Below are 24,479 nucleotides of genomic sequence, written 5' to 3'. Positions count from 1 at the left end.
GCTGCCAGCACGGTGTCACCTCTCATTAGGACAACCTACGTAGGTTTATATTTGGCTCAAGATAATACTACTCTACTTCTCCAGTAAGTAAGCATTTATGAAAAATCAGAAACTTTTCAAGTTAACCACTTCTACTACAGCAGTCTCTCTGAGAAAGACATGACACACCTTACTTCAAGGAAAAAAGGGTCCTTTTTCCTCACAAGTATTTTCTCATAAACTTTATTTTTTTAATGCTTTTAAAAACAGATTCTAATTTAATTAATCTAGATTTGCAAAATTATAAAGGAAAAGTCTTGCCGGTTGTTGCTTCGGTTACGTTAATTTCACAATTTAGTAAATTCCAACTACGTATTTAATACAAAGCAGCCTTTGTGGGGGGGGGGTATTTAACAAAATGCATCTTAGCAACAGTCTAGAGAAACTTTTCTGTGTGAAAACAGAAGAGGGGTTACCATGGAGAAATTCATTACGGATTTCGGGAAGGCTTTTTCCTCAGAAATAGAGTGAAAACAAAAAAGTCGTTGTGTAATAAATCTGATAATGATGCTGTGTGACTTAGAAGTTGGTCCAAAAGTTTATCTTCAGCAATTATGTCTAGATGATCAACTACATATCTTCTGCAACAGGTGACACGAAACTGCATTTCCCAAGCAAGGCAAAGCGATCAAATGAGCTAAGATGCGCGTTCCTGCGGTTTTGTACTTTCATTTTTGATTTAACCAAAAACAATTTTGAATCGAATGAATAACCAAAGTTGGGTGGGTCTTGTTTGGCTTTCTGCTTTGCTTTTTAATCAGCCATTTACCAGCAACTGTTGCACAGGCCCATTAGCACTCGAAGAATAAAAGCAAACATACAGGACCAGATAAAATTCCCCTACTAACCCAAATGATCCATTTCCTTAACACAATTTTAAAACCACAGCTAGGGATGTGAAAACAGACATGTTTTTGTGTGTGTTTGTGTGCCACAATCTGTCCAAACCCTTAATTCCCTTTTAAGTAACATATCTAATAAAAATCTGAAAGAAACCACATTAGAAATGCAAAGAGGTTTGTAAAACAAGAGGCTTCTTTCATTCCAGAAAACCAGACCAAAACAAGGGGAAAGAAATGAATGCAATGGATACGTGTTTGCCAAAGTTTCAATCCTGCCCGGTGGAGACACTGCACTGGCACAAATTTTGAAGAGGAAAAAGAGGAGGTTGGGGGGGAGAGAGAGAGCGAGCGAGTGTAGCCTGCAAACTGCAACAATGCAATCTCCATTTTTAACAATGCGCCTCTTTCCTCTTGTAAATCTAGTTTTTTGCCACTTGATGTGCCCTCGCATTTCCCCTCTGTTTGGGGGGGAGGCGGGGTTGGGGGGAGATCGGAGCAGGATGCACAGCACACGAGTGAGCAAGGGGGGAGGGCAGAGGAGGTGGGGAAGGAGTCTGCAGCAACTGGGCTGGGTGGGTACCTGGAGTGCTGCTGTAGGTACTATGGCTCCTGAAGCTGCTTTCTGTGCAGTAACTGGCGTCGTCGTCGTCTTCCAGCTCCTCCAGATAATCGGAATCAGCCTCGTCCTCCTCCATCTCATGCTCCTCGTTGTCCTCAGACTCCTGGGTCTCCTCGACGTCGCCGTCCTCTTCCTCCTAGCTCCCGTGGTCATCGTACACCACTTTGTTCACGGCCCTCCGGGCCGCGGTGGTCCGGGCCAGGTGGCCGCCGCCGCCGCCGCCGCCCCCGCCTCCTCGCCCCTTCCACCCGGGCGCTGGTGCTTGGGGGACCAGCGGCGGCTTCCTCCGGCTACTGCTGCTCCCCCCTGGGCGAGCTCAGCCACGGCTTGGAGGCTGCCTCAACCTAGGCGGCGGCGGCGGCCCACCTGCCCCTGCTGCTCGCGGTGCCGCGAGCTGAGCCCCCCGATGGGTCCGGACTTGGGCGGCGGCGGCGGCGGGGCCGGGGCAGGGGCCGGGGCAGGGGCCGGGGCGCAGCGCTCCGCAGCGGAAGCCGCAGGCTGCTTGGGCTGCCTGCCCCGCCTGCCCCTAATGTCGGAGCCGAGGACGGGGGAGAAGGGAAAGCGGAGGAGGAGGGACGGGCGCGGGTGGGGAGGCCTGCGAGGCCGCGCGGGAGGGCCCCGGTCGGCAGAAGCGGGTGGAGGGAAAAGGCTCATTCCGAATTGCTGGGGCCCCACTCAGGATCGGCTTCAGCCGCCCTCTTGTTTCATCCCTCTCCCGCAGCGCGGTCACGTGAGATGCGCCACAGAAGAGCCTGAGACCGAGTGAGGCGGCGCGGCAGCCGCTAGGGGGAGCGCGGGGGCGTCGAGTCGGGAGCGCGGAGCCCGGAGCGCCTGGGCTCGGCGCAGCGCGGTGCGCCTGGACTCGGGGCGCGGATGGCGCGGCTGAGAGGGGCGCGTAGCTCGCGAAATGCCCGGCGTCAAAGGCCTTCGGAGACCAGTCTCCGCGGACCCCTGGCTGGAGCCCAAAGCCGGCCAGACCTCCTCCCCGCGTCTCCCCTTCCGCGGCTCGGAGAGGAAGGCAGGGGAGCCCCCAAATATCATTCCCCTCCCGCCCCCTAGGGAAACTGATGCTGAAAGAGCCAGCGAGAGAAAGAAAAAAAAAAGTCGCTGAGGGGGGCGGCCCGAGCGACCGAAGGCACCGGACAGCGCCAGCGACGGAGGGAAACTTGGGGCGGGGGGGGGACAGGGAGACAAGCCCCCAGAATTTTGGAAACCCCAAAGCTTGGAGCTGGAGTCCTGAAATTGACTCCGATGACAGCTGCTCCGGATCCTTGCCAGGAGCCACGCCCCGGGCTGCCACGCCCGGAGGGAGGGGCGCCCTAAGACCTGTTGCGTGGAATGCCCACTTGGAAAGCCTCAGTAAACTCCAGAACGCAACTACTGCACGTTCCAATGTCCCGCCACCTTCCCAGTGCCCCAGGTGGGACTTTGACCACCTCAGCAAGAACTTACCTCTCCTTTGCAGTGGAAAAGAGGGAATCCTGCCTAAAACCTACTTCACGGTGTTAAATGTTTGTATTATTGGGAAATAACCTTAATTTATTGACCTGACAAGTCACTAGGTTTCAGCTTAGCCCAAAGGACGAATCATGATGACATTTCAGGCACCCTCAAACCTTATCACAGCGACTCAACCCTGAGTGGTTGAGGTCAGCTCTTCAGATAAAAGAAAGGTACATATTAATATTTATTGAGAGAAGTGACAACCGAAAAGTAATTTAAAGAAAAATAGTTGGCTGGGCGTGGTAGCTCACACCTGCAATCCCAGTCCTTTGAGAGGCCAAGGCCGGATGATAGCTTGAGGTCAGGAGTTCAAGACCAGCCTGAGCAACATAGCAGGACCTCGTCTCTAGAAAAATTTTGAAAAAATTAGCTGGGCATGGTGGTGTGCACCTGTGGTCCCAGCTACCCGAGAGGCTGAGGTGGGAGGACTGCTTGAACCTGGGAGGTGGATGTTGCAGTGAACTGTGATTGCACCACTGAACTCCAGCCTGGGTAACAGAGCAAGACCCTGTTTCAAAATTTTAAGAAAAGAAAGAAAAATGCCTAACAGGATTCTGTATATCAAATGGCTTATTTCAATCTAGTTAGGAAAATGGAACACATATGTGAAATGAAAATTAAAATACAAGAACTAATTGCCAAATAAATGCATTCAATACAATTTGGTTGAGCACTAAGGGTGACAAATGTGTATATGTCTCCAAGGACCAGGTAAGTAATGTAAGTCAATAAAGTAGGCAAGATGAAGACCTAGGCCAATGGAAATGCCCATATTTTGTTTGAAGAGGATAGCCAGGCACGGTGGCTCAGGCCTGTAATCCCAGCACTTTAGGAGGCCAGGTGGGCAGATCACTTGAGCCCAGGAGTTTGAGATTAGCCTAGACAACATGGTGAAATCCTGTCTACTAAAAATACAAAAATTAGCTGGGCATGGTGGCACGAGCCTGTAGTCCCAGCTGCTTGGGAGGCTGAGGCAGGAGAATTGCCTGAACCTGGGAGGCAGAGGTTTCAGGGAGCTGAGATCGTGCCACTGCACTCCAGCCAGTCTCACACACATACAAAAAATAATAAAACTTCATGTATGAAGAATTATCACAATTTGATGATTCCAGAAAGTCCACATCAGTGGCTTCTAACATACTTTGTGTCACAAAACCCTATTAGAAATGGATAAATACTGTGATCCTCTACCAAGGAAAAAAGTATGTATATAAACTTTTGTAATCTATTTCAATGGTTCTTGGACTCCTTGAAGTTTATATAACAGAATAAAAAGACTGAAGAAAAATAATGAAGTGCAATGTGTGGCCTTGTTTGGACCTGGTTTACTGCTAACAGTAAAAAGGTATCTCTAAGAAAACTAGGGCAAGTGGAATATGGACTGAGAATCAGATGATTAATTTGTTAATTACAGTTAATTTATTGAGTGTGATAATGACATGATGGTTATGGAAAAAATGTCTACATAGAGATACATACTGAACTTCTGGTGAAACGTGATTTCTGGGATTTGTTTTAAAACACTATAGGATTTCAAAAAGTGGTCAGTGACAACTGAACCAAGAGTGATAAATTTGGCTGGGAGCAGTGACTCAACGCCTGTAATCCCAGCACTTTGGGAGGCCAAGGCAGGCAGATCACTTGAGGTCAGGAGTTCGAGACCAGCCTGGCCAACATGGCGAAACCCTGTGTCTATTAAAAATACAAAAATTAGCTGGGCGTGGTGGCAGGTACTTGTAATCCCAGCTATTTGGGAGGCTGAGGCAGGAGACTTGCTTGAACCCAAAAGGTGGAGGTTGCAGTCAGCTGAGACCATGCCACTGCACTCTAGCCTGGGTGACAGAGCAAAAGTCCATCTCAAAAAAAAAAAAGTGATAAACTTTGATAATTGTCACAGCTGAATGATGGTTGCTTGGGAGTTCATTATTCTCTTCGTATTTGTGTAGTTTTAAATTTCCCATAGTAATTAAAAAAAATCAAGCCTCCCAAAACAGAACTACTGTCTAGATGAATTTTCTTGGGCCTTAAAGGCTTTTTTGTTTGTTTGTTTTTTTGAGACAGGGTCTTGCTCTGTCACCCAGGCTGGAGCACAGTGGGTTGATCTCAGCTCACTGCAGCCTTGAACTCCTGGGCTCAAGCGATCCTCCCTCATCAGCCTCCTGAGTAACTGGGAATACAGGTGTGTACCAATCTGTCTGGCTAATTTTTGCATTTTTTGTAGAGATGGGGATTTGCCATGTTGCCCAGGCTGTTTCTTGAACTCCTGGGCTCAATTGATCCTCGCCTGCCTTGGCATCCCATCACAGGTGTGAGCCACAGCACCTGGCCTTAAAGGCATTTTCCTATTCTTTACCTTCTTTTTCACTTGAACCTAAATATCCGAAGGACCTAGCAAGGTATATCTATTTTTTATTTAAATGAATGATTTCTTCCAGAAAGATCTGGCTGAAGGGAAGAGAGTGCAAAGAAACCATAAGCCTTTCAAGAGCAGGATACTGGTGAGAGAAAATAGATATAAAAAATATATCTATTTTTAATTTAAATGAATGATTTCTTCCAGAAAGGTCTGGCTGAAGAAAGGGAAGAGAGTGCAAAGAAACCATAATCCTGTCAAGAGCAGGATAGTGGTGAGGTAAGAGAAGAATCACAGAAAAGGGCTTGGGACCTGCCAGCGTTCTATCACTCTGTGCATATGTGGTCTTCACTATGTCACCTGGCACCCTCATGAAATAATCGGCTCATTGAACATGAGTTTAAAAACACATGATCTTTTAAAAGAGCAGTTCATCTCTATAGAATTCGGTGATTCTAAATACTAAAGCTCATTAGCCAGTTGTAAAAATTCAATTAATAGCTCATTTATGTGACAGTGTTTTGGAAGCCTCTATCACTTCCTTTCTGGTTTTCTCTTACATGCAACAATGCCAAGGTTACCAGATACATGACTCTCCTCGAGAAGTGAATTAGAACTGAATTAAGATTTTTTTTTTAAGAGAGAGAATCTTGCTCTGTCATCCAGGCTGGAGTGCAACAGCACATTGCACAGGGTAGGAAACAGGACCAGAGATGCAAAGTGACTTGTGGAGGTCACACAGTGAATTAGGGCCACAAGTGGGGCCAAGGAGCAGCCTGTCTCTGGCCAATGTCCTAGTTCCCCCCGGGTAAGTCCCCTGCCCTCATCACCTGTGCCCCTCCCCCCATATGCCACTGCAACTGGGAACCTGCTGGGAGCTGGAGGAAGGATGGGCAGAGGGGCCACCTGGCAGGCGCCCTGGCAGCCAGGGTCATCTGTCTTCTCAGGAGATGTCAGGACCTGGGCAGTCTCCTTCCTCTTTGGTCCTGGGGCCTGGTGGTGGCCCTTGGGCAGACCTACAGAGGCCTGGCTCATAGGTAAGGGGCTGCCGCACCTGCGCCCTCCTCAGCACACACTCTGTGCACTCTGTCTGAGCCAGACCCTGGGCCGGATGCGAGGTTCAAAGAATAAGGCCATTCCCCCACCTCCAGGGGCTCCGCTCAGACGGGCAGGAACCCTCCTACAGGACAGAGAATGTGGAGAGGCCGGGAAGTGCGCCACCGGGAGCCTGGGCAGGAAACGGAGGGGCGCTGCGGGGGAAGAGCGCTGGCATCCAGCCATCCATCCCAGAGAAGCTGCCTGCTGGCTGGCAGGGGCGCGAAACAGGAAACAGCCGTGGTCTCCTGCCCTGTCCGCCGGGTGCCGTTTTCCACCCTGGCCACAAGGCGGCGGGCTGCCGCTGCAGGAGCTCGAGTGAAAGCGGCACAGTCCTAAGGAAGCCAAACCAGGACGACCCGGACAGTCTGGGTGGACCCCCTGCTGCTGCCAAGTGCTTAGAAGCCTTACCTCGTTTAGGGCTCACAACCCTAATCCTTAGGTATTGTGCTTACACCAGAGGACGCTGGGCCTGGGGGAGCGTCCTCGCGTGTAAGTTAAGTGGCTGTCAGCAACTGGCAGGTGACCCAGCAGAGTCCAGTTGCCCTTTCCCTAGTCTCGAAACCTGAGCTCTGCATTGTAACGAGTCGAGCGGAGGGAACATCCAGCAGCGGGCCTACGGAGGCGTGTCTCTTCGTTTGGGCATCCCGGACTCAGTCCTGGCACATGGTGGGCATCAGTGTTCATGGTAATGACATCAGGCACAGCGAAAGAAATCAGAGGCTCCCAAGGTTCAGCGGTCATCTGTCCATCCCCTCCCTTTGGGCTAAAGAACAAACCGAGACCCTGAGAGAGGAAGGGAACTGCCCCTAGATCATCACACAGCTGGTGGCAGATGAAAGAACGGTTCTGAGCATCTCTTTTTCCCACTCGGGCTGCCCCTCCTTGAAAAGTTCCTAAAGTTCAAAATGTCAGGGTCGCCCAGAGTGTTCTGAGGATGTAAGCGTGTTTTTAAAACGTGCTTTATTTTCGATTTCCCTGATTAACACAACCGGATTCTGAAGAGAGAAAAAAAACAACCTCACCATAACCGGACGCCTTTCTGAAACAAACCCATCAATGTTGGAAGCACCCAAACAAACCCATCTGAAATGTTGGAAGCACCCTCAAAGGGAAGCAGACGCCTGAGTTTCACATCCACCCTCTCATCTGACCCCAGGCTCCTGGGAGACTGGCAAGGCTGTTGAGCCGGCGGCAAGCCCGCAATCCCCCGTTCCGTGCCCAGATGCGCTTCGGAATACAGAACAGCTGGGACTTGGAAAGAGACTATGGGGCACACACCTGCTGTAGGTCACATAACCTCCCAGCAGGGCTTGGGGCAGCAGCCGGTCATCGAGCTCATTTGCATTTCTGCAGCAAAACATGAATATTCACACAAGTTTGACAAATAAAGACCATCAACAGCCTCACATCAGTTCAAGCGCAATTTTGCCACCAATTGGATTACGAAAAACTTCTGGGCTTCCAGGCAGCTTTGGAGCTTGGGAATCGCAGATGAGGGACTAGGGGCTTGCACCGCTCCCGTTTCGCGGTTGGGGAGAGGGAGCTCATTCCAAGTCTTCAGACAGAGGTGGGCATCGTGCCCGACGCTGAGCGGAGCAGGTCTCCTCGCGCCCCGGCTCCGTGCGGGCGCGGTCCCCAGCGCGCCACCCCTGTTCCCCGCTCTCCTCCCGCGGCGGGCCGTGCACATCCTGGATGGCCTCGTAGACGGTCTCTGAGTCGCTGCGCGCCAGGGGCCGCGGGCACATCCAGGAACCCGCCACACTGCAGCCTTGAAGCTGCCGCTCCTTCCGAGGTGGCCGGCGGGAGGCGAGACGGCGGCGCGCGCCAGGTAGTCCAGGGACTGCGCAGGCCGCAAGTACAGGCAGGCGGGCAGGCCGGGCGCCAGGCTGCTGCGCTGGGTCGCGGCGCCGCGTTGCGAAGGGCCGCACAGGGAGCTGGCGCGGCCTCGGGGCTCCGCGGGGGTGCTGTCGGGGCCCGCTGCCGCCGCCGCGCTCACAAGCCGGTAGTCGTAGGTGAGCGGCTCGGGGGCCGAGGGGACTGTTGGGGGGACCTGGCGGCGCGGCAGTGGCAGGTTGTCTCGTCCGGGCGTTCCCGTTCGCGGGGAGGTCATTTGCCCAGCGCAGGCAGCTCGCGCACGTACTGCGCGGGCAGGTAGAAGGGGTGGCCGCCAGGCTCGCGCCGCACGTGCCACCAGTGCTCCGTGCTGCGCCGCAGCAGCCAGTAGCGCTCATTGGGCCAGATGGCCACGCGGCGCCAGTCCTTGCGGGTATACTCGAAGGGGTGCTCCACCACCAGGTAGACATCCCCCTCCACATACGCCGGCATCGTGGCCGCGGCGTTTTTCTGCAGGCAACAAGGAGGAGGGCCGTGGAGGTCAAGACCACCGAGCCTGGAATAGCCCCGCACTCGGGGACAGACTTGGGTTCGAGTCCCGATGCTGCATTCGCCGTTCGCCTTCGGGCCTGAGTTTTTCCATTTCTAAAATGGGGACTTGAATAAAATCACATGTAAGGCTTCCATTCTTACACTCAGTGCTGGAATTACGACAACCTCTTCATTCCGTGGGGTTGATTCTAAGATTTCAGCCTCGCTTCAGTCCTGCGGTGGGGAGATTGTGGGTAGTCTTGGTCCAAATCGACTGCGAGGGAAACTTTGGTTTTAAAACGAGGGGTGATTGCCCGCTCTGAGGTCGACACCACGCTTACTCAGGTGACTGAGCCTTAGTTTTCCATCAGTCAAGTGGGAAGAGCAGCCCATTGCCAGCCGCTCCCCGGGCCCTGTCCCGCCTGGACGCCTCCCGCCCGCAGAGAATCCGCAGAGTCCCGTAGCACCGCCTCCCTCCAGGAGCCTGCGCCCCGGCCCCTGGGTCAGGGTTGGGATGCGGGCTCTGCAGACGCCCCGGAGAACAGCTTTACCTGCGGGCTGTCCCTGCCCGGTTTAGTCCAAGGGCCTCGGTGTGAGGGCCTCCGCTGTCAAGGCGGGGGAACCGGTTCTCTTGGTTTCTCTCTCCTTCCCCAGAGGCTTCAACGCAGACGTGAGCCCCAGCCGGGCCCGCCCCGCCCCCTGCTCTCCGGCTCTCACACCGCACCCCCCCCGAAAAAGGCTGCCCACCTGCCCTGGGACCCCCCGGATGCCTCCACGAGAGTGGCCCCTGGAGAATGCACTCTGAGACAGTGACTATCCGTGCGGAGTCCCAGAGCAGGGGCCCCCAAAGCTCTCCGGAGTGGTCACAAGCCCCGCTCCCGCCCCGGCTCCAGTGTGTCAGGGATGGGGGAGAGCCTAACTAAATCTGCCTGCACCCCTCCACCAAAGCCACGAGTCGGTGGTCTTCTCCGGAAGTGCATGGCCCCTCCAAGCTCCCACACTGACCACATCTCCTCCTGCCTCCTAAGGTGACCCGGACCAGGGGCCAGGAGACCGCCGCTTGCCGAGGCTGAGGGACTGAAGGAGCAGGGTCCAACCAGGCCCCCCGTAGGGCTCCTTCGCCACTTTCTCAAGCGTTCCTCGACGAGGAAAAAGTGTAAACTGAGTCACTAAGCACACTGGGTCCCGGAGGCGGGGTCATCGAGCTGCCCAGAGCTGGACCAACAAACCCCAAGGAGGACACTGCCCCGGCGCCCCTTCCCCATGGACCCCGCAGCGCACTCACGTCGGCTGGGCGGGCCTCAGGGAGCCCAAGGGCCGGGGGGGGCCGAGCCGGCAGGTTAGGCCCCGACCATCGCCCTGGGCGTGGCTTCCAGGGGCGAAGCCGGAGAGGCTGCACGGAACCGGAGCTGGCAACGGGAGCTAAGAGGGACAGGGACACTCAGGAGTGCTGTCACCGATACCCAAAGCAGCTGTGTCTGGGCGGGGCGAGGAGGGGCCAGAAGGCCTCTGCTGGGGACCTTGGGGGCATGGGGAAGACAAGGCCCGAAGCAGAAGGCCGGGGCCTGGAGCCGGGAGGGCTGCGTCTGAAGGGGTGCTGGCTGATCGCTAGCAGAACCCAAGGAGGGTGGGGCCGCCCCTGCCCGGCCTTCCCCCTTCTCCCCTCACCTGGGGATTTGCTGTCCCTGCGTCCCTGCGTCCCTCCCGCACGCGGCTCTGGGAATGCTGGGCTGGGGCTGGTTGTCTTGTCCGGGCGTTCCCGCTCGCGGGGAGATCATTTGCACCCTGAATCCCCCACTGCGAGCACTTCCAACCGGACTGCAGACCGCCAGCTCCGGGCCCGCCTCCCTCACCAGGGCCTTTCCCCGCACAGCCCGGCCGGGCTTGGAAAAACTCCGAGCGGGATTCCCAGCGCAGGGACGCCCACCAGGCGCGGTGTCTCGGGCTGGATAAGAAGGGGACCCGGCCACGGCTCCTTCCCCGACCTGGGGGCACACAGAGAAGGAGAGAGATTGGTGGGGGGGGCGGGGTGCCGGGAGGATCCCTGGAGCGCAGGAGCGCACCAGTCGCCAGGAGGTCTCCTGCGTCCACCGCCCAGGCGACGCAAGATACAGAGGCGTCAACGCCTGGGTGGGCGTTGGGGGCCTCCCTGCTGCCCTCCAGCCCAATGGAGGGCAGCCCTTCGCCTACCTTCTCCTTCGCGTGGGATGCGGCCCGCGCAGATCCTGCCCCAGCGCGGAACTAAGGGGAGCAGGCGCGCGGAGCTCCCAGGTGCGGACCAGCCACCTGCCGCACCCTTTCCTCCCCCACCCTGTCCCCTTCCCCACCCCCTACCCCCACCCCTAACCCCACTTCCCACCTCAACCCCCGCTCGGCGCCTCACTCCCGACCCTGCCTGCCCGGGCAGCTCGGGGCGTCCGCTCGCCGGCCTCGCCTCCACTTGCCCCGGCAGGCGCGCGTGGGCTCGGCGTTCCGCGCTCCCTCCTCGACCGCGCGGCTCCCGCGCTGCCAGGTTTCCTGTATAACAGTATAACCAGGGAGGCACCGGCGGAGAGCGCCTGGCAGAACTTCCCGGACTGGGTCTGGGCTGCAGTTGACAGAGACAATCCCCGGCGCACTGGCTTCCTGGCGCCGGGCCAGCGCCTGAGGAGCGAAGACGCCACCCCCTCCCCTGCTGCACTTCCCGGGATCCTGGGCCACACCTGGCTGTCTCCAGGGAGGAAGAGGCCGCGGGGCTGAGATGGTGGGACTGGGGATGGCGGGAGTCTCCCCCGCAGCTTCTCCTGGCCAGATTGCCTTCCCACCATCCCCCAGTCCCTCTTGATCCTTGTGGGGAAAGAGGGCCACCCTCCAATCCGTCCACAGGGTAAGCTCAGAACAACCTCCTGGAGGCCAGGAGTCCAGCCCCAGGGCCCTCTGCCTTGGAGGTCTTCTGTTTGGGAATTATCTGCCTCTCTGGACAAGCTGCCTTGCCCTGATCTGAGCCTGCGCTCACTCCACACATCACAAGCCCCAGCCCCAGCAGACCCCCTGCCCTCAGGGGCCCCAGGAAATTGTTGTGCCTGTGGACCTGGCTGTGTGTGCGCAGAGCTGGCTGATTCAGGCTAGTGTTCTGGGAGGAAGAGACGCCCGCACCCCAGGCCATGGCCCCTCTTGACACCACCTCCTGGGGGTCCAAGGTTGGGTGGGAAGCTGAATCTGGCCACACTCGTTCTGGAACTCCCTTATCTCTATATGTTTGCCCCCGCTAGGCGTTGCCCACCCGTTGAATCCACACTTACTCTGAGAATCTCAGTGTGTCTGAGACCTGGTGGCACCTTGGGACCCTCCAGGGTGGGCACACAGCAGAACTCAGCATTGGTCTAAGCATTGACCTGCTTAGAAAATAGTGACTGGAGGAATCTTCTCTCCCTCCCTACCTTTTAGGTCTCTCCCCACCTGCACACAGCCAGGCAGCGGCTGGCAGTAGTGATGGTCTTTGCGTGGGGTCAGGCATGTATGATGCCCCACTCTGCTGCCTGGTAGGCCTTGGGAGTTCTGCCTTATCTCTGCAGCTCAGCTTTCTTTCCTATCAACGGGATAGTAACACCCACCTCACTGGATTATTGGGAAGATTAAATGAGGTCCACTAAGCAGTGCTTACCACATGCCTAGCGCACACCATATATCAGCCTTTTTTTTTTTTTTTTTTTTTTTTGAGACGGAGTCTCGCTCTGTTGCCCAGGCTGGAGTGCGGTGGCACAATCTCAGCTCACTGCAACCTCCACCTCTGGGTTCAAGTGATTCTCCTGCCTCAGCTTCCTGAGTAGCTGGGATTACAGGCACCCGCCATCAGCTATTTGATTTGAGCTATTATTTGAGCTCAAATCAAGGAAACTTGACTTGAAAATTAAATGATTTCTTTGCTTTATAAGTTAAAAAAATGGTTTAAAAGTTTAACAAATGGTTGAACTAAAATGAACAGAGCCTCAGTGACCAGTAGGAGAATTCTGAGTCTACCATACGTGTAACTGTAAAAGGAAAGGAAAGAGATATTTTGGCAAGTAACTCCTTGGCAAATATTTGGCAAATATCAAAAGAGGCTGAATTAAAATTCTGGTAGAATTTTTAAAATAAATTGACAGGTGAATTCTAAGATTTATATGTATACGCAAAGGATCTAGAATAGTCAGGACAATTTTCATAAAGACTAAGAAACTGGAGGATTTGTTTTACAGAACCTCAAGTTTTAATATAAATATACACTATCAGGAGACACTAGTATTGGCTAAGGAAAGAAAAATAGACCAATAGCATAGAATAGAGATTACCGAACTAGACATACACACATATATGTTTAATTTACTTTTGATAAGATGCCAAGCAAATCTATGGGTAAAAGAAAGAGTTGCCACATGGTGCCGAACTATATTTCCATATATTAAAAAAATAAACCAACCTTCCATGAAATGCAAAAATTAACTGAGTGGATAATAAGCCTAAACAGAGGGCTAAATAACTGTATGTCTTCTAGAAGAACGCATTGGAGAAATTACTTCTGACTTTGGAATATGCAAATGTTTCCTAAAGAAGGCACAACACCTACAAAATGTGTTTTAGAATGATAAATTGATTGTATTAACATTGTAAACTTTTGCTCATCAAAATACGTGGAAAAAATAAAAAGGTGGCCGGGCGCGGTGGCTGACGCCTGTAATTCCAGCACTTTGGGAGGCCGAGGTGGGCAGATCATGAAGTCAGGAGATTGAGACCATCCTGGCCAACATGGCGAAACCCTGTCTCTACTAAAAATACAAAAAATACAAAAACAAAAACAAAAAACATTAGCTGGGCATGGTGGCAGATGCCTGTAGTCTCAGCTACTCGGGAGGCTGAGGCAGGAGAATCGCTTCAACATGGGAGGCAGAGCTTGCAGTGAGCCGAGATGGTGCCACTGCTCTCCAGCCTGGCAACAGAGCGAAGTCTCTAAATAAGTAAATAAATATCAAAAAAATAAAAAGCCAGAGACAGAAAAAAATTATTTGTACTATATGCATACCTGACAAGTGACTTCTATCCAGGACATATAGTTTTTCTACAAATCATTAATAAAAAGACAACTTAAAAATGGCAAAGTAAGTGAGCCATATTGGCTTTCAAGGGCTATAGGATATTACGAGCCTTATATAAATACACAGATACACATTATTAAATATTTCATTGACATTTTCATGAATAAACCAGAAAAGCAACTTATTAGTTTAAGATCAAAATAATTGGAGTCAAATAATTCCAAATTATAACTATATTTTTGCCACTTCCTCAAAAGCCAAAATAGAGATGAGATTATTTTATTTACTACTTCATGTATTTTCTGATAAAAAGAAAGGTGCATATTAAATAGTATTTAAAAATAACCAAAGGACATGAAATTAGTATACCAAAGGGATAGCCACACCCCCATACTTATTATATAGCATTATTCCTAATAGTCAAGATATGGAATCAACCTATATGTCCATGAAGAGATGCTTGGATAAAGAAAATGTGGTCTATATACACAATGGAATACTATTCGGTCATAAAAACAATGGAATTCTGTCCTTCCTGGCAACATGGATAAACCTGTAGGACATTATATTAGGCGAAAAAGATCAGGCACAGAAAGATAAATACTGTATGTTCTCACTCAAATGTGAGACCTAAGTAAAATTTAAGCTCATGAAAGTAGGGAGTAGGATTGTGAGTATTAAGATGCTGGGAAGGGTAGGGAAAAGGAGGATGGGGACAGTTTGGTTAATGGATACAAAATTATAGCTAGATGGAATGTTTTATGGTGTTCTACAACACTGCAAGGTGAATATGGTTAACTGTAATTTATTATATATTTTCAAAAAGCTAGAAGAGAGGATTCTGAATGTTCACAACACAAAGAAATGATAAAGTGATGGATATGTTAATTACTCTGATTTGATCCTTACATATTGTATAGATATATCAAAATATCACTCTGTATCCTGTAAGTATAATTACTGTGTCAACTAAAAAAAGGAAAAAATAAGTATTCTATACATTGAACAACGATAAAAAGACATTCAAATTGGCATATACATATATCTGTTTAATAACTTTAGCTACATTATATGCTTTACTAAGCATTCAAGTCTTTTCATTTTATACTCAATTTATACTCTCATTTCTCAATACAAGCAATAAAGTTTCATTAGCATCCTGGTATCTCATAATTATCAATAATTACTATTTATTAAGTTTATAGTCTATACTACCTTGTTGGTAGACACAAACTATTTTGAGACAATTTATAGTAGGGTGGAGAACACTTAGAAATAATGTTTTGCCAATAAATCTATGGAGGATTCATCACAATGGAGGAAATTAATTGGAAGGTTCAGAGGAACATTCAGTTCTTTATCTGGATGGAGTATGGTAGCAAAGGAAATTGTTCATGTTAATAATCGATACAGAGCCTTTGCTTTTAAATGTTATGTTATTGTGGATTATGCTGTGCTTGGAAATAAAAGTCACCATCCATACTAATAATTATCATAGTGACTAGAGAATCAAGAAGAAAAATACTACAAAATAAAGTTTGACTATGTAAAAGTAATAGCAACCCAGAGTAAACTCATATGAACTCCTACCTATTCAATGCCTTAAAAACTATTTATCTTATTAAATGTGTTAAACATTTGCCATAAATTATCATCCCAAATTTTATAAATGCTAAGCCTTAACATTGACTATGCATGTGTGCTTATCAGCTCATGTAACTCATTATTTTTTAAAATTCCACTTATGAGAGCGAAGGCTAGTTCAATTCTCTACATGGCAGGGGGTTAGAGATAGGGTTAAACTGACAGATTAATTTTCCAACTTCTATCAGAATTGAGTCTCAAAATAGGAGTAAACTTCAGTTATTAAATATGAAGAAAGTTATATCTGATTTAGTTCCTGCCTGCTTTTCTTTCCATGAACCAAATTCTATTCTTCATAAATTCTACCCACTGGTGAGGATTATGCAAATGGAGAAATATGTACTCTACATTGGAAAATAATCTGTCTACCCTCTGATTTAAACTGCTAACTATTCTAAATGTCTTACACTATTCTCTGCTAGTCAGATTGGATCTCTTGTTATCTGTCCAAAATGGTAACTGAAGTTACTGAACTCTAAACATTTTTTATTCATTGAATGCCATTGCAAAACCTTTTAAACATCACTCATCTTGGGTTCAAACATCCCAGCATCCTTACAAATAAACTTTCCTATCTTGAAACTAAATTTCTTTTTGGTAGCTTTAATTTAGTCTTAAACTAAAAACAGAGTTTATTTTCTGATAATCACCTGTTTCTACATCACATTCATATTTGAAAATGTGTCATGAACTAATAATGTATAGCATAATAATTTTAACATTTAATTGCATTGATCAAAAATACACCTTTAAAAATTGGCAAATCTTATAAAATTACAATAAATCACTTTCTAATGAATGCATAAATCTTATATAACGTTTTCAAATTTGAGATTATAATGAAGAATAAATTTTCATGTGGTTTTAGATTTTAACTCTTAATTTTACTTTTATAATGTTTGAAATTGAAGTTTGACCTCATGGCTAATTATTCTTAGTTATACTGTATTTTACAGTATTTGAGATATCTGAAAAATCAAGAATTTGTTTTTCTAAGGGCTCTGTGGTTTTGAAATAGGATTGTCATACTCTACACCATAATTATTTATGTAAAATCTTAATGTAAATTTGCATTAGATGTGGGTTATTAAACTAATTTAGGTATGACAGCTATACTATTCCAAATAATATGAATTCCAAAATTCTGTTTGGAATGAAATTCAAGAGCAATGAGAACTTGACATAAAGGCTAATTTTATAATAATCATCGGTTGATAAGGCATTAGAAATATTAATTTTCTGTACTTTTACTATGACTCATTGGAACATAATCTCAATTATGAATCCACATTCATATACCAAATAATATATATTAATATGCACAGTTGATCATGGTGGAAAATATACATATATTAGTTTCTGAAGAGTTTTGAAGAAACCAATAATAAAATGCTAGAAAATATGTATGAAATAACCAGATAGATGATGTATTAGAAGGCAAGGAGGAGCAAGTCACGTCTTACATGGATGGCAGTAGGCAAACACAGAGAGCTTGTGCAGGGGAACTCCTTTTTTTAAAACCATCAGATATCGTGAGACTTATTCACTATCATGAAAATAGCACGGGAGACTTGCCCCCATGATTCAATTACCTCCTACCGGTTCCCTCCTACAACATGTGGGAATTCCAAATAAGATTTGGGTGGTGACACAGTCAAGCCATATCAAATGGATAGATATAGACATATTTTATACATCTTTTAAATGTGATGCTTCCTGTTCACTTTTGGCACAGGCTGTAGGTCTCAAACTAATGCCAAAAATACCCCTATTATAGTTACTGAACCTTCATAGGGTAATCATTCTAGTTTGCTCAGGATAGCATCAGTTTATGCTCATGGAGTAGAAGACAGAATATTGCTGAAGTATCAATTCCCTCCATTGGAGCCAAGTTTGAAGAGGCTTTGTGATAAGATTTAATGGGGTGCTGGGCGCGGTGGCTCACGCCTGTAATCCCAGCACTTTGGGAGGCCAAGGCAGGCAGATCACCTGAGGTCAGGAGCTTGAGACCAGCCTGGCCAACATGGTGAAATCCCCTGTCTACTAAAAATACAAAAATTATCCAGGCATGGTGGCACACAAGGCAATTATCTATAAACCCTGTGACAAGACTGGTAGCCTCAATTTTCCTCTCATATATAACAAACATAACTCATAATTTCCTGTGGTTCCCACTGACCAAGCTCACTGACAGCCCAGAAGACTTGTGCTGGAAGAGCAGCATTATTAGTAACCTTCTCTTCATACCAACTGAAATAAGGAGGAATTAGCTATTTTTTGGCTGCTTGGGTCTTCAAAGTCCTACAAGCTGTCCTTGAATGATTGATACAATACAATTTGCATCTGGAAAGCATTGAAAAAGAGAGGTAGGTTATCACTGGTTACATTATCATATTATCCTCATGTTAAAAAAAATTTTCTGCTTATGTGTATCTCTATATCTTACACTCCTAGAAAAGATGATGGCAGAATTTAAAGCACCAAGTGGTGACTTATCAAACCCATCCCTATTTATTTTAACGCAACTATAAATAATAGTGCTTGGTTAAAAAATCCAGGACAAGGCCGGGCGCGGTGGCTCACGTCTGTAATCCCAGAACTTTGGGAGGCCGAGGCGGGTGGACCACGAGGTCAGGAGATCGAGATCATCCTGGCTAACACAGGTGAAACCCCATCTCTACTAAAAATATAAAAAATTAGCCGGGTGTAGCGGCGGGCACTTGTAATCCCAGCGACCCGGGAGGCTCAGGCAGGAGAATGGCGGGAACCCGGGAGGTGGAGCTTGCAGTGAGCCGGGATCGCGCCGCTGCACTCCAGCCTGGGTGATAGAGCTAGACTCCGTCTCACAAAAAAAAAAAAAAAAAAAAAAAAAAATCCAGGACAAATGGTATATGTATGTATACATTTTTTATCTGAAAATTGTTTATCACATTCACAAATGAAACTATTTGAAGTAATATTGCTGCAGTTTCCATGGAAACAGATATGTGGTTGACATTGGCCAATTAGTTGAGCAATTCATTCCTATAACAATCAAAAAAAGTTTATTTACATGGCATATCAATATTATAACCATCAATTTTCCCTCAATTCTTTAATAATGAAAAGATCAAATTCTGACAAATGTAATTTCAGTTATGAAACTATGTTATATGATGGTGCATTTAAATTGAAATAAAAATTAATTTTGATACTTTACATAAGGTTTTCCTCTTCTGACCCCAGACTATAATATAAAATATTTTTTTCTGGCTAGTGGTATTTGAACTTTATTTAATTTACATGATATTTTAAATTTTTAATTGTTTTTTTCATGGTAGATAGTATTAGTACATATAAGTACCAGTTTTTCAACATACAGAAGATATTGCAGTGGTAACTTACACAGTGACACATTCAAATGTGTATTGTGTCTCACCCTTATCCCCTAGCCAAGAGAACAATTCAAAAGGAGAAATAGCTGCCTGGATTCTCAGAATTATGTGCATAAACTTGCAAATTCAACACTTCTTTGTCCTTGCTGGCATATCAAATTTTCCAAATCTCACTTACACATACTATTGTGGTCCCACTATATCAGTTAACACAGCCTTCCATAACATACTTGTACTATGCATATTTAATCATCTTATAATACGCTTAGTAGAGGAATGTGCCTTGGAAATCTCAGGGCACAGCAAGTGGACAAATGCTGTTACAAAACAACTGCATGTAATTTGGCAATATGCTTTTTTCCTCAGTTTAATTAAGCTCTTAATTTAATTTATAAGCAGCTTTTGCCATTATCACTGATGTCTTTCCAATTCCTTATATACTGACATCCCTGCCTCACTAATGCGGAACTCTTCTTTCTTCATTTACCTCCAAGCAACCCTAAACATAATGAAAATATAAATAATGAAATTGTAAATAAAAATCATTATGTTTCAAAATGCTTTCCAAACACAAAAACTAAATTAACAGTAGAATGCTCTACAGTCCATGCCCTAATTAAACCTTAGTGAGTTTTATGAGCTAAATTGTGCCCACCCACCCCCGCCAAATTCATGTGTTGAAGTCCTAACCCTCAATATCACGGAGTATCTATACTTGGAGACAAGGTCTTTAGAGAAGTACACAATTAAGGTTAAATAAGGTCAGTAGGGTGCGTCCTAATCCAATGTGACTGGCGTGCTTCTAAGAGGAGAACATTTACACACAGACACATACAGAGAAATGACGATGTAAAGACACGGGGAGACGATAGCAGTCTATGGACCAATTGAATAGGTCTCAGAAGAAACCAAACCTACCAATACCTTTAATCTTGGACTTTTGGCATCTAAAACTGTGAGAAAGTAAGTTTCTGTTTAAGCCATCCAGTCCATGGCACTTTGTTACGACAGCTCTACCAAACGAATGCAGTGAGCTTTCTCAATTGTTTTGGCAATTCTACATATTTCATTATCTTCTGAGATTTTAAAAATGAAGTAACTATAATTAAAGTTGCAAATGGAGTATTAATGTTATAAAAATAAGCACTCTTTAGATATTTTTACAGTGCTCAAAGTTTAATGACTTAAAGCACCTATGGCTGTAAGAAAGAGAAAGAACGAAAGAAAAAAAGAAAGATCTTCAGTAAGAAGCAAACCATTCTATGCAGTTATAATAAAACCACTAAAATAATATCCCATGAACTATGAATGCATACATGCAAATTAATATTCTGACACATGGTAGAAATTTTCTGGCCAAATATCCTTTAAAACTCTTCGGACAGGCGAAAACGGATGCTTTAGAGACGGTGTATTAAATTGCTTTATCATTCACTCCAAATCAGCAATTTGAGTGCTTTCACTTTTTCTCTAGCCTGCCTTAACTTTAATCACCTGATATACCCCAGCGTAAATCAGGTTGCACCTTCTATCACCAATGTCAGTACAGTCAAATGAGAATTTGATCCACATTATAGAGACAATATATTCAATGGCTATTATTGGTATTAACTTCTGTAATGATCTTGGTACTGAGCTACTATCAAGTCCAAAACGACTCTGAAAGATTGGACTAGGTGAATTTTACAGCCTACAATGGCTTATTGAGGTCTTCCATTAAATCTTTTCTTGTTTTATTTTGTTGTTTGTTTTTGAGACACAGTCTGGCTCCGGCCCAGGCTGGGGAGCAGTGGCGCGATCTCAGCTCACTACAACCTCCGCCTCCCGGTTCAAGGAATTCTTCCGTCTCCGCCTCCTGAGTAGCTGGGATTACAGTTGCCCACCACCACACCTGGCTAATTTTGTATTTTTAGTAGAGACGGGGTTTCTCCATGTTGGTCAAGCTGGTCTTGAACTCCAGACCTCAGGTGATCCACCCACCTCAGCCTCCCAAAGTTCTGGGATTACAGGCATGAGCTATCACACCTGGCCTCGAGTCTGCTGGCGTCTTTATCTTGATTTTCTCAGTTTCTAGAACTGAAAGAAATACATTTCTATTCTTTATAAGCCACCCAAATTATGGTATTTTAGTACAGCAGCCTGAATGGACTAAGATACTCACTCTGGCAGAAGTTATTGATGATATTGCCTTTGTCCTAGATACAAATACAGAACAATCTCAACTCATTGGCATGGGCAGTGATAGACAATAACATTACCCTAGGTTTTTTTTTTTTTTTTCTTTTAGTCATCCTGGTGTCTGTGCCGTTGCTCATACTTCTTGTCCTTGGATCAAAGAAACAAGCAAGTTGGAACTATTATATATTGTTTCATGGTATAAGCTATTTGGCTAAGGTTGATCCCATAATCTATCAAATTTGTTATTTTGGCCTTGATTTGGCAATTGAGGTTCCTGGTTCCAAATCACCTTATAGGAACTATTAATTATTCTGGCTTTGTAAGAGTGGACATGATGCTGCGTGCTATCTAGATTCTTAAAAGCTTCTGCACATCTGCTCTCTAGTCAAAATCACCATGATGATACAAAAACAAAAAGGTCAGGAATATTTTGCAATACAGTTTTATATGGAGTTTACTGAATAATCTCTGAGTGATAAAGAGCTAGATTTCCAGCTTTCCTTGAATTGGCCAACCTCTTGAAAGTAAGCGAATGACCAAAAGGGGTGACTAAGAGACTGAATATACAAATACAATGGCCAGACCATAGATGAAAGTAAAACTCTGACCCACCTCTACAGCAACCAGTCTAGAAAGTCAAAAAACAACCCTATAGCAACCAGCTGAAAAACAGCCAGGACTTCATTGACTCACAGCTTCCTTAATTTTTGCGCCTGCTTGCAACTTAGGACCCAATGAAGAAAGACAAATATGCACACATAACCAATCACATTGGATGTCCTAGTTCCAGTTAGCTGACCTACAGCTTCTCCATGCCAGTGGCCTCCAATCAGGGCATAACTAAAGCCTTTGCCAAGCCTATGAGGCCCAGGTGACTGCAGCCCCCTGCAGGTCCTGCATGGGCTTATTGATTTCATGTTTTTGAAAAGCACTTTTTCTGTGGCTCCTCCCATTATTAAGATAATACATGTCTATTAACATTTTAAAATTAAAGAAAAGCCCAAAGACCAATCAATATTTTGTGTCATAACCCAGAGATCACCATTATTAACATTTTAGGGTATACCCTTTTCTGTGCATTTATTGACATATGCATCTATTTTTTATAAAGTTGGAATCAGACAGGACTCATACTGCTTTATAACAAGCTTGGTTCACTTAATATTATACCTTGGGTACATATTTATGTTCACCAAATGCTTTTGAATAAGATGTATCCTAAAGTCTTTCAGAATTTTCCTTTTCTCCAGCTGAACGTAGCCACTTGCCTAGCTGTGTTACCACGAGCAAATTAACTTCAGTTTCCTCATCTGTAAAAGGAGGGTTAACAACAGTGTCTGTATCGGGGTTGTTGGGAGGGCAGATGTGGCAGTGTGTGCCTGTCAGAACAGTGTTCTTTCCCTGTCACGCCTCCTGCCTGTCACACCTCCTGCCCATTCACCCACCCATCCACCCATCTGCCTAATTCATTTGGTCAAGTGTTTGCCTCAAGGGGTGCAAATTCAGTTTTCTCCCAAGGGCACAGATTTCTACTAAGAGACACAGAAACACAAGGAAGAAGCTGTTTGCTCCTCTGGACAGCCAGCACCTGCCAGCTGTGTAGTCCTGATGTGTGGATGTGTCTTCATCACAGTGCAGGGAGGGTGATTCTCTCAGTCAGTTCTACCTCAGCCTCCACCTCCCTGGGGTGGGGAAACCCCACAGAAGTTGGTTTCATTTTGGCTTTTTTGTTGTTTGCCTTATCCCTACCCCTGCTCTCAGTGTTAAATAGTTAACTAACTACATAGAGGAAATTAAACCTCAAAATCACCAAAAATGCAAAGAACGGTTTGATCATAAAACACGTTCCCTATTTACAGGACCCTGGTACTTCCATTGAACCATCTTCTTCATTGCCCTCATCTTTGTGCCACTTCCTTTTCACACTAGAAAATTACAATCCTTCTCTAGGCCTATCTGAAATCAGGAAATCTTCAGCTCGCTCTCCCTCTCAAACATTGCTGGCCTAGGAAAGACAGAGAAATTCAAGATAGAAAGTGGGGGGCCCACGGGTTTGGGGCCTCATTGTTCGTCGTTGCTGTTCTGGCTGACCCACTGGTGCTGAGGCCCGGCTGGCACTGGCAGGATGTCAGCCCAGGAGTGGGGCTTCTTTGTCGGTCTCCTCCATTCCCGCAGGATAGGAACAGTCGCTGGGGAGCACAAAGCCCCTGCCCACCTGCAGTGCTTGGCAGTGTTCAGCGCACATTCCTGTGTGTTATTTCATCGGAGCCTCACCCAAGGCCTGGGGGCCAAGTCACGGGAAGAGCCGAGTTGGGATTGGAGAACAGCAGCTTGACCCAGGTCACCAGGAGTTTGCCACTGGGCTGTCCCTAGGCTGGGGGGCTGGTACCTCAGGGGCCTAAGCTATGGGAAAAGAAGGGGTTGTACATTGCTGGGGGAGGTGAGAGATGCTGGTGGAGCTAGGAGACAGGAGGTCAGAGATCTCCCCAGCCCCCGAATACACAGGCAGGCTTCCTGAGGGCCTGTTTTGTCCCCCAACCCTCAAGGGGACAACAGGGCCACACCAGGCACTCACACAGCAGCTGACAGCAGCTCACATTTACTGAGGATGTGCCACCTGCCAGGCCCTGTGCCAGGAGCTCTCCTGGAATACCTCTTTTCATCTAAATTCAAAATAATACCATGAGAAAGAAGCTCCAGTCCTGGGCTGACATCCCGCTGAGTGCCAGGCCTCAGCACTGAAGCCACAGCAGCAGCAAGCAAAACGGCCCCAAACCTGTTAGTTGCTTTCAATTTTCCCATTTTACAGATGAGGAAACTGAGTCACAGAGAGGGATAAGTTTCACCAGGTCATATAGGTAGGAAGTGGTGGAGGCAGGATTCAATTCCGTTCTGACTCCGAAGCCAGACTTTTTTTTCCCTACACAATTTATTAGAATTTGAAAAGGTTGCTGGATACAGTCAAATAAATCAATTTCATTTCTATATATCATCAAAGTATTATTTTAAAAGATAATCATTTATAATAGCATCAAAGACAAAGCCACCAGAAATATAACAAAATATGTTGACAGGACTAGTTCAGATGTTAAAGATCTAAGCCGCGCGAAAACCAGACTTCTAACCACTAAGCACCTGTCAGCTGTGGAGACAACAGCTCCTCCATCCTTACGATGCAGCGAGGCCACTGCAGGTGGGGAGGGGTCTTCTGGTTAGTGCAGCAGCCTGGTGTTCAGAGATGACACCTCAGCTCAGACCTGGAAGGTTCTGCAGGCAGGTTGTATAAGCCACGTTAGCTGCTCTAAAGCCTCCATTTCCTCATCTAGAAAATGGGGACAGGGAGGCCCTCCCTAACGGGTTGTTCTGAGGATGAAGGGAGGATGTGGTCAAGTTCCTGGCCCAATGTTTTGCAAA

At 47.0% G+C, this 24,479-nt stretch overlaps 1 protein-coding gene, 1 long non-coding RNA gene and 1 pseudogene across 11 annotated transcripts in view, besides 12 other annotated features; all 3 read right to left on the bottom strand.

Moving 5' to 3' along the window:
- The window catches only part of AMZ2 (archaelysin family metallopeptidase 2), a 51,036-nt gene extending 49,465 nt beyond the window's left edge, over window positions 1-1,571 (bottom strand). For all 6 annotated transcript variants that reach the window (NM_001346472.1, NM_001346473.1, XM_024450788.2 and 3 more), the window contains exon 1: window positions 1,462-1,571. The gene's annotated coding sequence lies outside the window, so the exon portion shown is untranslated. The remainder of the gene's footprint in view (window positions 1-1,461) is intronic.
- Window positions 1,688-1,737: a silencer, noted in NCBI's record as "silent region_8895". NCBI's record gives its function as "represses an Ori minimal core promoter by ATAC-STARR-seq in GM12878 lymphoblastoid cells {active_cell/tissue: GM12878}" and the evidence as "EXISTENCE:reporter gene assay evidence [ECO:0000049][PMID:35858748]".
- Window positions 1,818-1,947: a silencer, noted in NCBI's record as "silent region_8894". NCBI's record gives its function as "represses an Ori minimal core promoter by ATAC-STARR-seq in GM12878 lymphoblastoid cells {active_cell/tissue: GM12878}" and the evidence as "EXISTENCE:reporter gene assay evidence [ECO:0000049][PMID:35858748]".
- Window positions 1,958-2,487: a silencer, noted in NCBI's record as "silent region_8893". NCBI's record gives its function as "represses an Ori minimal core promoter by ATAC-STARR-seq in GM12878 lymphoblastoid cells {active_cell/tissue: GM12878}" and the evidence as "EXISTENCE:reporter gene assay evidence [ECO:0000049][PMID:35858748]".
- Window positions 6,586-7,402: an enhancer, noted in NCBI's record as "H3K4me1 hESC enhancer chr17:66196439-66197255 (GRCh37/hg19 assembly coordinates)". NCBI's record gives its function as "activates a minimal SCP1, AML or CMV promoter by ChIP-STARR-seq in naive H9 embryonic stem cells {active_cell/tissue: H9 hESC(naive)}" and the evidence as "EXISTENCE:reporter gene assay evidence [ECO:0000049][PMID:30033119]".
- ARHGAP27P2 (Rho GTPase activating protein 27 pseudogene 2) lies at window positions 7,398-9,040 on the bottom strand (annotated as a pseudogene). The gene has a single exon (NR_027283.1). The product of NR_027283.1 is annotated as a Rho GTPase activating protein 27 pseudogene 2 (transcript).
- Window positions 8,059-8,138: a silencer, noted in NCBI's record as "silent region_8892". NCBI's record gives its function as "represses an Ori minimal core promoter by ATAC-STARR-seq in GM12878 lymphoblastoid cells {active_cell/tissue: GM12878}" and the evidence as "EXISTENCE:reporter gene assay evidence [ECO:0000049][PMID:35858748]".
- Window positions 8,149-8,288: a silencer, noted in NCBI's record as "silent region_8891". NCBI's record gives its function as "represses an Ori minimal core promoter by ATAC-STARR-seq in GM12878 lymphoblastoid cells {active_cell/tissue: GM12878}" and the evidence as "EXISTENCE:reporter gene assay evidence [ECO:0000049][PMID:35858748]".
- Window positions 8,319-8,408: a silencer, noted in NCBI's record as "silent region_8890". NCBI's record gives its function as "represses an Ori minimal core promoter by ATAC-STARR-seq in GM12878 lymphoblastoid cells {active_cell/tissue: GM12878}" and the evidence as "EXISTENCE:reporter gene assay evidence [ECO:0000049][PMID:35858748]".
- A 3,983-nt stretch (window positions 9,041-13,023) lies between the features above and the next one.
- Window positions 13,024-24,479, bottom strand: part of LOC105371870 (uncharacterized) — a 29,274-nt gene continuing 17,818 nt past the window's right edge. For all 4 annotated transcript variants that reach the window (XR_934937.4, XR_001752982.3, XR_001752983.2 and 1 more), the window contains one exon: window positions 13,024-24,332. This is a non-coding gene — a long non-coding RNA (uncharacterized LOC105371870). The remainder of the gene's footprint in view (window positions 24,333-24,479) is intronic.
- Window positions 21,600-21,669: an enhancer, noted in NCBI's record as "active region_12641". NCBI's record gives its function as "activates an Ori minimal core promoter by ATAC-STARR-seq in GM12878 lymphoblastoid cells {active_cell/tissue: GM12878}" and the evidence as "EXISTENCE:reporter gene assay evidence [ECO:0000049][PMID:35858748]".
- Window positions 21,770-21,859: an enhancer, noted in NCBI's record as "active region_12640". NCBI's record gives its function as "activates an Ori minimal core promoter by ATAC-STARR-seq in GM12878 lymphoblastoid cells {active_cell/tissue: GM12878}" and the evidence as "EXISTENCE:reporter gene assay evidence [ECO:0000049][PMID:35858748]".
- Window positions 22,740-23,340: an enhancer, noted in NCBI's record as "H3K4me1 hESC enhancer chr17:66180501-66181101 (GRCh37/hg19 assembly coordinates)". NCBI's record gives its function as "activates a minimal SCP1, AML or CMV promoter by ChIP-STARR-seq in primed H9 embryonic stem cells {active_cell/tissue: H9 hESC(primed)}" and the evidence as "EXISTENCE:reporter gene assay evidence [ECO:0000049][PMID:30033119]".
- Window positions 24,113-24,172: an enhancer, noted in NCBI's record as "active region_12639". NCBI's record gives its function as "activates an Ori minimal core promoter by ATAC-STARR-seq in GM12878 lymphoblastoid cells {active_cell/tissue: GM12878}" and the evidence as "EXISTENCE:reporter gene assay evidence [ECO:0000049][PMID:35858748]".
- Window positions 24,193-24,262: an enhancer, noted in NCBI's record as "active region_12638". NCBI's record gives its function as "activates an Ori minimal core promoter by ATAC-STARR-seq in GM12878 lymphoblastoid cells {active_cell/tissue: GM12878}" and the evidence as "EXISTENCE:reporter gene assay evidence [ECO:0000049][PMID:35858748]".

Source organism: Homo sapiens, chromosome 17 (genome assembly GCF_000001405.40).
Source record: "Homo sapiens chromosome 17, GRCh38.p14 Primary Assembly".
Taxonomy (NCBI): domain Eukaryota; kingdom Metazoa; phylum Chordata; class Mammalia; order Primates; family Hominidae; genus Homo; species Homo sapiens.
This window is presented reverse-complemented; position numbering and strand designations above follow the sequence as displayed.